The following is a 13450-nucleotide window of genomic DNA, read 5'->3' on the forward strand; positions in this document are numbered from 1 at the left end:
ACAGAAAGTGCGATTCTAGCTCTCACTTCAAGGAGAGGAAACTTCCTTCTCTCTAGGGAACGAGACCCAACCTCTTGGCGGGCGGATTGGTCCATTTTCCAGGCATGGCCAGGCTTTTGGCACATTTATGTAACAGGCTGGCATCCCGCCCATCTTGAGCATGGGTGGGCAAGCTGGGTGCTGCTAAGAGAAGAGAAAGGAGCCGTTGGGAGTGGGGGTGGGGAAGGAAGGCAAAACGCAGTCCTGGGATCCTTATCACTCGCCTCCTCCTGACAGTCCTGGGGGAGAGGTTCAGCCCCAGGAGAAGGATGCTGGCGATTGGGTAAAAGCTGTATCCGTAAGCTACATGAAGGTTTCTCAATCTCGGCGCTATTGACATTTTGGACTAGCTAGTTCGTTATTGTAGGAGATCGTCCTGTGCATCGTAGGATGTTTAGCAGCATCCCTGGCCTCCCCCCACTACATATCCGTAGCACTCCTTGTAAATTCCTGTTTTAGTAAGAACCTCCCATCCTTGACATCTGATCACCCTCAATATCTCATCCTCCACCATCCCCCAAGTGATATCCGACCACCCTGGCCTGTCTTCAGTGAGAATCCTGTTAGGTCAGTTTAGATAGAATCCCCCTTACCCCTGATGCCTCTTACCAATTTTCCATCCACTGACCCCCTACACTGCTCCTTGGCTATACATTCCCACTTGTCCGTGATGCATTCAGAGTTGATCCCAACCTGTCTCCTCCACTGCAAGAACTCATTGCAGTGGTCCCTAAACCTGTAGCGATGGTGCTAAATAAAGTCTTCCTTAATGTGCTTTAACAAGTATCATTGAATAATTATTTCTTTAACACAACAGAGCAAAAGCCTATAGAGATGGAAATAATAAAATGATGGGACTTAAGGAAAAATTCAGGAGACCCTGCTATGAGAATAACAGGAATTTTAGGCCGGGCGCGGTGGCTCACGCCTGTAATCCCAGAACTTTGGGAGGCCAAGGCGGGCGGATCACGAGGTCAGGAGATCGAGACCATCCTGGCTAACACGGTGAAACCCCGTCTCTACTAAAAATACAAAAAATTAGCCGGGCGTGGTGGCGGGCGCCTGTAGTCCCAGCTATTCGGGAGGCTGAGGCAGGAGAATGGCGTGAACCCGGGAGGGGGAGCTTGCAGTGAGCCGAGATCGCACCACTGCACTCCAGCCTGGACGACAGAGTGAGACTCCGTCTCAAAAAAAAAAAAAAAAAAGGAATTTTAGAAGGAGGAAGAGGAATGGATGAAGAAGATTCAATAGTTAACCAAATAAAAGAATACAGTTTTCCTAAATTCTACCAGATTATACGGATTGAAAACATTCACTAAAGGATGGATTCATAAGAACAAAAATGCATGCCTATATTTTATAAAATTTCAGGTTCTAACAAGTGTGGAAAGAATAAGTTACTCACAATTGGTTAAAAAAAATGGCTTCCTTCTCTCCCTCCCTCCCTCCTTCCTTCCTTCCCTCCTTCCCCACCCCCTCTTTCTCTCTCTCTCTTTTTTGTAGTGTAGGGGTCTCATTATGTTGCCCAGGCTGGTCTCAAACTCCTGGACTCAAGCAATCCTCCTGCCTCAGCCTCCCAAAGTGCTAGGATTACAAGTATGAGCCACTGTGCCCAGCAAGTTTCTATCTGCAATCTGGAAGCTAGAAGAGAGTAGACTAGCGTCTATTGACTAGAAGAAAAGCACTGTAACTCAATATACCCCATTAAGATATAATTCACTTGTTAGGGCAAAAAACATGTCTGAGGATGTATAAGGATTCAGAGACACATCATCCGGATACACATCTGTCCAAAATCGAGGAAAGGTTTGAACCAAATAAATATCCTAGAACAGAGACAGATGGAAAGGAAATAGTTGTAAATAACAAACTTTGCAAAAATCGACACTAAAACTGATTGGATTAAGAAAATGGAATGGATTAAGATAGATGAGGAATGTGTAATGTAAGTGCTAAATAAGAACTTTTAAGATGCAAGGAGTAACTTTAAAAAAAATCTAATAATACCAACCACTAAGTATACTAAAGTATCCCAGTAAAACTAGTAGTTGAAAGTGCCTAAGATTTTATCTTAGTGAGCCCTTGGTCGATGTAATCTTGCAGTGTGTAATAAGAAATATATATTTTTGGTCTTTGTCCTGGGTTCCTACAATAGCACTCCTAAAACCTTTGTTATTTGCTGAATAAACATCTCTTTCTTTCTTTTGTTTTTAACTAGATATACGGTCTTGCTACGTTGCCCAGGCTGATCATGAACTCCTGGACTCAAGCAATTCTCCCACCTCAGCCTGTAAAGTACTGGAATTATAGGCATGAGCCACTCTGCCTGGCCAATAAGTATCTTTTATTATATTTTGTTCTCCTGCAGAGCTCCTAAAACCCTTGGAATTTCGTATGTGATAGAAGTGACTTTTTATATTAATAACAAACCCTTATAAGCACACTCGAGTTTATGCTAATATGACTTAGGGTGGGGGCCCTAGATAGCTTCAGGATGAGCTGGTCACCAGAAAGACCCTGGGAAGGGGAAGCAGGGACTGGAGATTACACGCTATAAGAATTCTTTTTTGTTGTTGTTGTTGAAACTGAGTCTCACTCTGTTGCCCAGGCTGGAGTGCAGTGGCCTGACCTCAGTTCACTGCAACCTCCACCTCCTAGGTTCAAGCGATTCTCCTGCCTCAGCCTCCCGAGTAGCTGGGACTACAGGTGTGAGCCACCACACCAGGGTAATTTTTTTTTTTTTTTTTTTTTTGAGACAGAGTCTCACTCTGTCACCCAGGCGATCTCGGCTCCCTGCAATCCTCTCAAGTAGCTGGGACTATAGATGCACGCTGCCACGCCCAGCTAATTTTTTGTATTTTAGTAGAGACAGGGTTTCACCAGCCCAGGGTTTTGCAACAGTCCAGGCTGGTCGCAAACTCCTGAGCTTAGGCAATCCACCTGCCTCGGCCTTCCAAAGTGCTGGGATTACAGGCGTGAGCCACTGGGTCCGGCCCATTTTTGTGGTTTTAGTAGAAATGGGATTTCTCCATGTTGGCCAGGCTGGTCTTGAACTCCTTACCTCAGGTTATCCATTTGCCTAGGCCTCCAAAAGTGCTGGGATTAGAGGTGTGAGCCACTGCGCCTGGCCCTAAAAACTCTTGAACAAAGAAATGTGGTGAGCTTCCCAGCTGGTGAACACATCCACCATGGGAAGATGGTGTGGTGTACCCCAACTCCATGGGGACAGAGACTCCTGCACTTGGGATCCTTCTGGACCTCATTCTACATACCTCTTCACCTGGCTGTTCATCCCTTTATTATATATATATATCTTTTTTTGAGGCAGAGTCTGGCTCTGTCGCCTAGGCTGGAATGCAGTGGGGTGATCTCGGCTCACTGCAATCTCTGTCTCCTGGGTTTACGTGATTCTCCTGCCTCAGCCTCCCAAGTAGCTGGGATTACAGGCATGCACCACCAAGCCCGGCTAATTTTTGCATATTTAGTAGAGACAGGGTTTCGCCATGTTGGCCAGGCTGGTCTTGAACTTTTGGGCTCAAGAGATCCACCTGCTTCGGCCTCCCAAAGTGTTGCGATTACAGGCGTGAGCCACCGCGCCCGGCCTATAATATTCTTTATCATAAACTAGTAAACGTAAGTGTTTCCCTGAGTTTTATGAAGGATTCTAGCAAATTATCAAATCCAAGGAGGGAGTCATGAGAATCCCTGATTTATACAGCCAGTTGGTCAGAAGTGTAGGAGGCTTGGATTTGCAGTTGGCATCTTTAATGGGGGCAACCTTGCGGGACTGAGCCCTTAATCTGTGGGATCTGACACTAACTCCAGGTAGAGAGTGTCAGAATTGAATTGTGGAACACCCAGCCTATGTCAGAGAATTGATTGATGTGGGAATAAAACCTGCATATCTAGTGTCAGAAACGAAGTGTTCTGTGTGAGTGTAGAAACAGTGTGGTTTCCCAGATATGGGGAAATAGATTATATTTAGTAGAAATGTATCCAATTATGAAAGTTGAGAAATGGGCTGGGTGCTGTGGCTCATACCTATAATCCCAGCACTTTGGGAGGCTGAGAGGGGTGGATCACTTGAGGTCAGGAGTTCAAGGCCAGCCTGGCCAGCATGATGAAACCCCATCTCTACTAAAAATGCAAAAATTAGCTGGGTGTGGTGGTGGTTGCCTGTAGTCCCAGCTTGTTCTTTATAAAAACCAGTAACATGAATGAAATGTATTGTGAGTTACAGCTGGGAAACAAGAAATAGCCAAGGTCTGAAAGACTGGGAATGAGAAAGGAGATACAACCACAGATATAGGAGTGATTAAAACAAAAATAAATTAAATTATGTGAAATTCTACAGCAACAAGTAGTAAAATCTAGAAAAAAAAAGGAAGATTTTTTTAGCAAAATTACTCCATTCTACCCAATGGGTAGAGTATTTTCGCCTCATTCTGTTGATGTTGGGTTTGGCCCTGTCTCTTACTTTGGTCAATGATGAGTGAGAAAGGCATGGTCAGTTTCCATCAGTCCCCTTACCTTCCTGCCACCCACAGATAGCCTCTATTTCAGCTTGTCCCTGAGTGAGAAATACTCAGGGTAGCCCTGAATCCAACCTATTGTCTTGGGACCAGCCTAGCAGAGTCACAACCGAGGAAGAAATAAACATTTGTTTTTGTAAGCTGTTGTTGTTGTAAGCTGTTAAGATTTGGGGATAGTTTATTTTTGCAGCAAAGGCTTGTTAATAAAGATAAACATTTCTTTAAAAAATTAGCAAGTATACAAAATTAGCCAGGTGTGGTGGCGCATCCCTGTAATCTCAGCTACTCGGGAGGCTGAGGCAGGAGAATCACTCGAGGCAGAGGTTGTGGTGAGCCGAGATTGTGCCATTGCACTCCAGCCTGGGGAACAAGAGCAAAACTCCGTCTAAAAAAAAAGAAAAAAAAAAAAAAACGCCGGGCGCAGTGACTCACGCCTGTAATCCCAGCACTTTGGGAGGCCAAGGCGGGCGGATCACGAGGTCAGGAGATGGAGACCATCCTGGCTAACATGGTGTATTTCTCTACTAAAAATACAAAAAATTAGCCGGGGTGGTGGCTGGCGCCTGTAGTCCCAGTTACTCGGGAGGTTGAAGCAGGAGAATGGCGTGAACCCGGGAGGCGGAGCTTGCAGTGAGCCGAGATTGCGCCACTGCACTCCAGCCTGGGCTACAGAGTGAGACTCCGTCTCAAAAACAAACAAACAAACAAAAAAATTAGCAAGGACTGGCACGGTGGCTCAACCCTGTAATCCCAGCACTTTGAGAGGCCAAGGGGGGAGCAGAACAGTTGAGGTCAGGAGTTCAAGACCAGCCTGGCCAACATGGTGAAACCCCAACTCTACTAAAAATACAAAAATTAGCTGGGCGTGGTGGTGCACGCCTGTAGTCCCAGGTACCTGCGAGGCTGAGGCAGGAGGAGGTTGCAGTGAGCTGTGATTGCACCACTGCACTCCAGCCTTGGTGACAGAGAGAGCCTCCCATCTCAAAAAAAAAAAAAAAAAAAAATAGGAAATGGAGTTCAGCAACTTATATTCCCTATGATTATACAAAATCAATATTGGGAAGTCTATCAATACAACCCCAAAACATCAACAAATTAAAGGAGAAAACACCATATGAGCCAATCAATAGAGGCCAAAAAGGCATTGATTAAACGTAGAAGCCATTCATTATAAAACCTCCAAGCAAAATAAGGATAAAAGGAAAGTATTTATAGTAGACTTTTTTTAAAAGACAAGGTCTCATTCTGTTGCCCATGCTGGAGTGCAGTGTTGTGATCACAGCTCACTGCAGCCTTGATATGGCTCAATTGAACCTCCCACCTCAGCCTCCTCAGTAGCTAGGACTACAGGCTTGAGCCACCACACCCAGATAGTTTTTGTTTGTTTGTTTATCGTTTGTTTTGTAGATACGAGGTTATGCCATGTTGCCCAAGCTGACATTATTATTTAACATTAATTCGGAAGTTTTAGTCAATACAATAAGATAAAAAACGAGGTAATTGATAATAAATACTGGAAAAGTGATAAAACAGCCTCCTTTTGTTGTTGATATGATTGTAGACTTAGAAAACGCAAGAGATGCGCTGGGTGCCATGGCTCACGCCTGTAATCCCAGCACTTTGGGAGGCGGATGACGAGGTCAGGAGATCGAGACCATCCTGGCTAACACGGTGAAACCCCGCCTCTACTAAAAATACAAAAAATTAGCCGGGCGTGGTGGCGGGCGCCAGTAGTCCCAGCTACTTGGGAGGCTGAGGCAGGAGAATGGCGTGAACCCGGGAGGCGGAGCTTGCAGTGAGCCGAGATCGCCACTGCACTCCAGCCTGGGCAACAGAGTGAGATTCCGTCTCAAAACAAAAACAAAAACAAAAAACAAACAAATACAAAAAACCACAAGAGATGCTAATTTTAAAAATGAAGCAAACATTTTTGTTTGAGATAATGAGATAATTTGTAAAAGCTGTCCAGATGAAAGCTACATACACCAGAATCAATAGCTTTATTCTACTTCAGTTAAGCAACTAGAAATATTAATAAAAATGGGGAAAATAACACTTTTACCATAGCAGTACAAGTTGTAAAAGCATAAGGAATGTATTTAACAAGGAAGATACAAAAATTATATAATGAAGACTGTAAAACTATATCAAAGAACAGAAACAAGATCTGAACAAATGAAACAGTACCATGTTTTTAGATGAGAATACAGTACCCAAAATGTCAGTTTTACCAAATTAGTATACAAATTCATTATAAATTTGGTTATAATGCCAACAGTATATTTTTTGATTGGATAAAGTGGTGTTAGAGTGTATGTGGAAGAACAAATCCCCCCAAATGACCAATAAATATATGAAAAAGAATAGTAGGGTTGGGAGTGTTGGCTCACATCTGTAATCCCAGCACTTTGGGAGGCCGAGGTGGGCAGATCACTTGAACTCAGGAGTTCAAGACCAGCCTGGGCAACATAGCAAAACCCCATCCCTACAAAAAATTAGCCAGGCATGGTGGCATGTGCCTGTAGTTCCAGCTACTTGGGAGGCTGGGAGATGGAAAGATCACATGGGCCTGGCAGGCAGAGGTTGCATTGATCATACCACTGCACTCCAGCCTGGGTGACAGAGTAAGACTCTGTCTCAAAAAAAAAAAAAAAAAAAAAAAAAGGAATAGTAGTAGGAAAGACTTATATTACCAGATGTCAGAAAATAAATCAGCCAAGCATAGTGGCTCAGGCCTGTAATCTCACCACTTTGGGAGGCCAAGGTGTGTGGATTATTTGAGGTCAGAAGTTCTAGACCAGCCTGGCCAACATGGTGAAACCCCATCTCTACTAAAAATACAAAAATTAGCTGGGTAGTGGTGGCATGTGCCTGTAATCCCAGCTATTCGGGAGGCGGGGCAGGAGACTCGCTTGAGCCTGGGAGGCAGAGGTTGCAGTGAGCCGAGATCGCGCCCTGCACTCCAGCCTGGGTGACAGAGTGAGACCCTGTCTCCATAAAAAAAAGAAAGAAAGAAAATAAATCATAGCGATAGTAACAATGACAGTATGAAACTTACTTCTAAGGAGTTTGTCCTGTAGAAATAAAACACACCAATTATACAGATGTATGTACAGAGATGTTTATTTCAGCCTTGATCATAGTAACAAAAATTTAGAAACAAAGTAGATCCCATCACTAAGGGAATGGCTGCATAAATTGTGAATTCTATGCATCCACTTGAAAAATGAACTAGAGCTATAGCAGTTGACATCAAGGGATTTCTGTGAAGCGTTTGTTTAATCAGAGTAAAATTATGGTAAAACAATGACAAAATACCCCCATACACATATACATGATTTTATGCACACACACACACACACACACACACACACACACACACACACACCATGTACAGAGGCTACCTGCCTCTGCCATCTTCCTGGCCACCCACCACCATGGCTCAGGGCTCAAGGCGTTTCTCCTTACTCCAGGTGGTAGTCTGCACACATTTTTATTCTGAAATAGGCAAAAAGCATGTCCCAAAACTATGTGTCCCCTCTCACTTTTTATTTTTATTTTTATTTTATTTTACTTTAAGTTCTGGGATACATGTGTTGAAGGTGCAGGTTTGTTACGTAGGCATACATGTGCCATGGTGGTTTACTACACCTATCAGCCTGTCATCTAGGCTTTAAGCCCCTCATGCATCAGGTGTTTGTCCTAATGCTCTCCCTCCCCTTGCCCCTAGCCCCCCAACAGGCCCCGGTGTGTGATGTCCCCCTCCGTGTGTCCACGTGTTCTCATTGTTCATCTCCCACTTATGAGTGAGAACATGCGCTATTTGGTTTTCTCTTCCTGTGTTAGTTTGCTGAGGATGATGGTTTCCAGCTTCATCCATGTCCCTGCAAAGGACATGAACTCACTCTTTTTTATGGCTGCATAGTATTCCATGGTGTATATGTATCATATTTTCTTTATCCACTCTATCATTGATGGGCATTTGGGTTGGTTCGGTGTCTTTGCTATTGTAAACAGTGCTGCAATAAACATATGTGTGCATTTTTTTTTTTTTGAGACAGAATCTTGCTGTGTCACCCAGGCTGAAGTGCAGTGGCACAATCTTGGCTCACTGCAACCTCCTCCTCCTGGGTTCAAGCGATTCTCCTGCCTTAGCCTCCCAAGTAGCTTGGGACTACAGGGGCCCACCACCTAGCCTGGCTAATTTTTTTTGTATTTTTAATAGAGACGGGTTTCACCATATTGGCCAGGCTGGTCTTGAACTCCTGACCTTGTGATCTGCCCACCTCAGACTCCCAAAGTGCTGGGATTACAGGTATGAGCCACCGCTCCTGGCTGCATGTGTCTTTGTAGTGGAATGATTTATAAACCTTTGGGTATATACCCAGTAATGGGATTGCTGGGTCAAATGGTATTTCTGGTTCTAGATCCCTGAGGAATCGCCACATACTTTTTTTTTTTTTTTTTTTTTTTTTTTTAAGACAGGGTCTTGCTGTGTCACCCAGGCTGGAGTGCAGTGGCACCATCATAGCTTACTGCAGTGTTGACCTCTTGGATTCAAGTGATCCTCCTGCCCCAGCCTCCTGAATAACTGGGCCTTGGCCTCCCGAGTAGTCTCATGTGCCTGGGACTGCAGGCACATGCCACCACACCTGGCTACTTTTTAAAGTTTTGGTAGAGACAAGATCTTTCATGTTGCTCAGGCTGGTCTTCAACTCCTGGGCTTAAGTGATCTTCCTGCCTCCATCTACCAAAGTACAGAGATTACAGGTGTGAGCCACTGTGCCTAGCCTCCTCTCACATTTTTAAGTTGATATCTAAAATTATTCACCTGAAATATAAATAGTTTAAAAGATAAGGATTTCTTATTTCTTTTAATACTGACATTTTAAACTCTTAAAACAGGCTTTTTCCCCCTCCCGAGAGACAGAGTCTTGTTCTGTTGCTGAGGCCGGAGTAAAATGTTGTGATCATAACTCACTGTAACCTCAAACTCCTGAACTCAAGGAATCCTACCACCTCAGTCTTCCTAGTAGCTGGGACTATAGGCACATGACACCATGCCTGGCTAATTTTTCTGTTTTTCGTAGAGACAGTCTCACTATGTTGCCTCAGCTGGTCTTGAACTCTTGGCCTCAAGGGATCCTCCTTCCTTGGCCTCTCTAAGTGCTGAGTTTACAGGCATGAGCCACTTTGCCCAGCCTACATCAGGCTTTTAAATATATCAATTGGGCCGGGTGCGGTGACTCACACCTGTAATCCTGGCATTTTAGGAGGCCGAGGTGCGCAGATCACTTGAGTTCAGGAGTTGGAGACCAGCCTGGCCAACATGGTGAAACCCCATCTCTACTAAAAATACCAAAAAAATTAGCCTGGCGTGGTGGCACACACTCATAGTCCTAGCTACTCCCAAGGGTGAGGCAGGAGAATCACTTGAACCTGGGATGCAGAGGTTGCAGTCAGCCAAGATTGCGCCACTGCACTCCAGCCTTATATTAGAGCAATTTGATATTTATTAATATAATCATCCACTAAGAAAGACCCAAACTCTTCTTTAACAGTTAAAAGTTTAACAACCGGAACAGCTCCAGTCTGCAGCTCCCAGCGTGATCGACGCAGAAGACAGGTGATTTCTGCATTTCCGACTGAGGTAACTGATTCATCTCACTGGGACTGGTTTGACAGTGGGTGCAGCCCACGGATGGGGAGCTGAAGCAGGGCAGGGCGTCACCTCACCCTGGAAGTGCAAGGGGTCAGGGGATTTCCCTTTCCTAGCCAAGGGAAGCCGTGACAGACTACCTGGAAAAATGGGACACTCCTGCCCAAATACTGCACTTTTCCCAAGATCTTAGCCACCGGCAGACAAGGAGATTCTCTCCCATGCCTGGCTCGGCGGGTTCCACACCCACGGAGCCTTGCTCACTGCTAGTGCAGCAGTCTGAGATCGAACTGTGAGGCGGCAGCCTGGCTGGGGGAGGGGCGTCCGCTGTTGCTGAGGCTTGAGTAGGTAAACAAAGCAGCCGGGAAGTTCGAACTGGGCAGAGCCCACTGCAGCTCAGTAAGGCCTACTGCCTCTAGACTCCATCTCTGTGGCCAGGGCATAGCTGAACAAAAGGCAGCAGACAACTTTTGCAGACTTAAAGGTCCCTGTCTGACAGCTCTGAAGAGAGCATTGGTTCTCTCAGCACGGTGTTTGAGCTCTGAGAACGGACAGACTGCCTCCTTAAGTGGGTCCCTCACCCCCATGTAGCCTAACTAGGAGATACCTCCCAGGAGGGGCCGACAGACACCTCATATAGGCACCTGCCTCTCTGGGACGAAGCTTCCAGAGGAAGGATCAGGAAGTAGTATTTGCTGTTCTGCAATATTTGCTGTTCTGCAGCCTCCGCTGGTGATACCCAGGAAAACAGGGTCTGGGGTGGACCTCCAGCAAACTCCAACCGACCTGCAGCTGAGGGACCTGACAGTTAGAAGGAAAACTGAAAAACAGAAAGGAATAGCATCAACATCACCAAAAAGGTCATCTACACCAAAACCCCATCTGTAGGTCACCAACATCAAAGACCAAAGGTAGATAAAACCACAAAGATGGGGAGAAACCAGAGCAGAAAAGCTGAAAATTCTAAAAATCAGAGTGCCTCTTCTCCTCCAAAGGATCGCAACTCCTCGCCAGCAAAGAGACAAAGCTGGATGGAGAATGACTTTGACAAGTCGACAGAAGTAGGCTTCAGAAGGTTGGTAAAAACAAACTTCTCCGAGCTAAAGGAGGACGTTTGAACCCATCGCAAGGAAGTAAAACCCTTGAAAAAAGATTAGACGAATGGCTAACTGGAATAAACAGTGTAGAGAATACCTTAAATGACCTGATGGAGCTGAAAACCACGGCACAAGAACTTCGTGACACATGCACAACCTTCAATAGCCGATTCGATCAAGTGGAAGAAAGGGTATCAGTGATTGAAGATCAAATTAATGAAATAAAGCAAATAAGACAAGGTTACAGGAAAAAGAGTAAAAAGACATGAACAAAGCCTCCAAGACAAATGGGACTATGTGAAAAGACCAAATCTATGTTTGATTGGTGTACCTGGAAGTGATGGGGAGAATGGAACCAACTTGGAAAACACTCTTCAGGATATTATCCAGGAGAACTTCCCCAACCTAGCAAGGCAGGCCAACATTCAAATTCAGAAAATACAGAGAACACCACAAAGATACTCCTTGAGAAGAGCAACCCCAAGACACATAATTGTCAGATTCACCAAGGTTGAAATGAAGGAAAAAGTGTTAAGGGCAGCCAAAGAGAAAGGTTGAGTTACCCACAAAGGGACGCCCATCAGACTAACAGTGGATCTCTCTGCAGAAACCCTACAAGAAGAGAGTGGGGGCCAATATTCAACATTCTTAAAGAATTTTCAACCCAGAATTTCATATCTAGCCAAACTAAGCTTCATAAGTAAAGGAAAAATAAAATCCTTTACAGACAAGCAAATGCTGAGAGATTTTGTCACCACCAGGCCTGCCTTACGAGAGCTCCTAAAGGAAGCACTAAACATGGAAAGGAACAACTGGTACCAGCCACTGCAAAAACATGCCAAATTGTAAAGACCATCGATGCTATGAAGAAACTGCATGAATTAACGGGCAAAATAACCAGCGAACATCATAATGACAGGATCAAATTCACACATAACGATATTAACCTTAAATGTAAATGGGCTAAATGCCCCAATTAAAAGACACAGACTGGCAAATTGGATAAAGAGTCAAGACCCATCAATGTGCTGTATTCAGGAGACCCAGCTCATGTGCAAAGACACACATAGACTAAAATAAAGGGATGGAGGAAGATATACCAAGCAAATGGAAAGCAAAAAAAAAAAAAAAAAAAAGCAGGGGTTGCAATCCTATTCTCTGATAAAACAGACTTTAAACCAACAAAGATCAAAAGAGACAAGGCCATTACATAATGGTAAAGGGATCAATTCGCCAAGAAGAGCTAACTATCCTAAATATATATGCACCCAATACAGGAGCACCCAGATTCATAAAGCAAGTCCTTTGAGACCTACAAAGAAACTTAGACTTGCACACAATAATAATGGGAGACTTTAACACCCCACTGTCAATATTAGACAGATCAACGAGACAGAAGGTTAACAAGGATATCCAGGACTTGAACTCAGCCCTGCAACAAGCAGACCTAATAGACATCTACATAACTCTCCACCCCAAATCAATAGAATATACATTCTTCTCAGCATCACATCACACTTATTCTAAAATTGACCACATAATTGGAAGTAAAGCACTCCTCAGCAAATGTAAAAGAACAGAAATCACAACAAACTGTCTCTCAGACCACAGTGCAATCAAATTAGAACTCAGGATTAAGAAACTCACTCAAATCCACACAACTACATGGAAACTGAACAACCTGCTCCTGAATGACTACTGGATACATAACGAAATGAAGGCAGAAATAAAGATGTTCTTTGAAACCAATGAGAACAAAGACACAACGTACCAGAATCTCTGGGACACGTTTAAAGCAGTGTGTAGAGGGAAATTTATAGCACTAAACACCCACAAGAGAAAGCAGGAAAGATCTAAAATTGACACCCTAAAATCACAATTAAAAGAACTAAAGAAGCAAGAGCAAACAAATTCAAAAGCTAGCAGAAGGCAAGAAATAACTGAGATCAGAGCAGAGATGAAAGAGATAGAGACACGAAAACCCTTCAAAAAAATCAAGGAGTCCAGGAGCTGGTTTTTTGAAAAGATCAACAAAATTGATAGACTGCTAGCAAGACTAATAAAGAAGAAGAGAGAAGAATCAAATAGATGCAATAAAAAATGATAAAGGGGATATCACCACC

General features: G+C 44.1%; 1 protein-coding gene across 2 annotated transcripts in view, besides 2 other annotated features; it reads left to right on the forward strand.

Moving 5' to 3' along the window:
* FAM228B (family with sequence similarity 228 member B) overlaps nt 1-13450 on the forward strand; it is a 92806-nt gene that overhangs the window by 8176 nt on the left and 71180 nt on the right. For both annotated transcript variants that reach the window (NR_111929.2, NM_001291328.2), the window contains exon 3: nt 10133-10221. The gene's annotated coding sequence lies outside the window, so the exon portion shown is untranslated. The remainder of the gene's footprint in view (nt 1-10132; nt 10222-13450) is intronic.
* Nucleotides 111-611: an enhancer, noted in NCBI's record as "H3K27ac hESC enhancer chr2:24307989-24308489 (GRCh37/hg19 assembly coordinates)". NCBI's record gives its function as "activates a minimal SCP1, AML or CMV promoter by ChIP-STARR-seq in primed H9 embryonic stem cells {active_cell/tissue: H9 hESC(primed)}" and the evidence as "EXISTENCE:reporter gene assay evidence [ECO:0000049][PMID:30033119]".
* Nucleotides 9947-11146: an enhancer, noted in NCBI's record as "BRD4-independent group 4 enhancer chr2:24317825-24319024 (GRCh37/hg19 assembly coordinates)". NCBI's record gives its function as "activates an origin of replication core promoter dependent on BRD2, P300/CBP, MED14 and CDK7 cofactors, and independent of BRD4, by STARR-seq in HCT116 cells {active_cell/tissue: HCT116}" and the evidence as "EXISTENCE:reporter gene assay evidence [ECO:0000049][PMID:35650434]".

This window comes from Homo sapiens, chromosome 2, assembly GCF_000001405.40.
Source record: "Homo sapiens chromosome 2, GRCh38.p14 Primary Assembly".
Taxonomy (NCBI): Eukaryota; Metazoa; Chordata; class Mammalia; order Primates; family Hominidae; genus Homo; species Homo sapiens.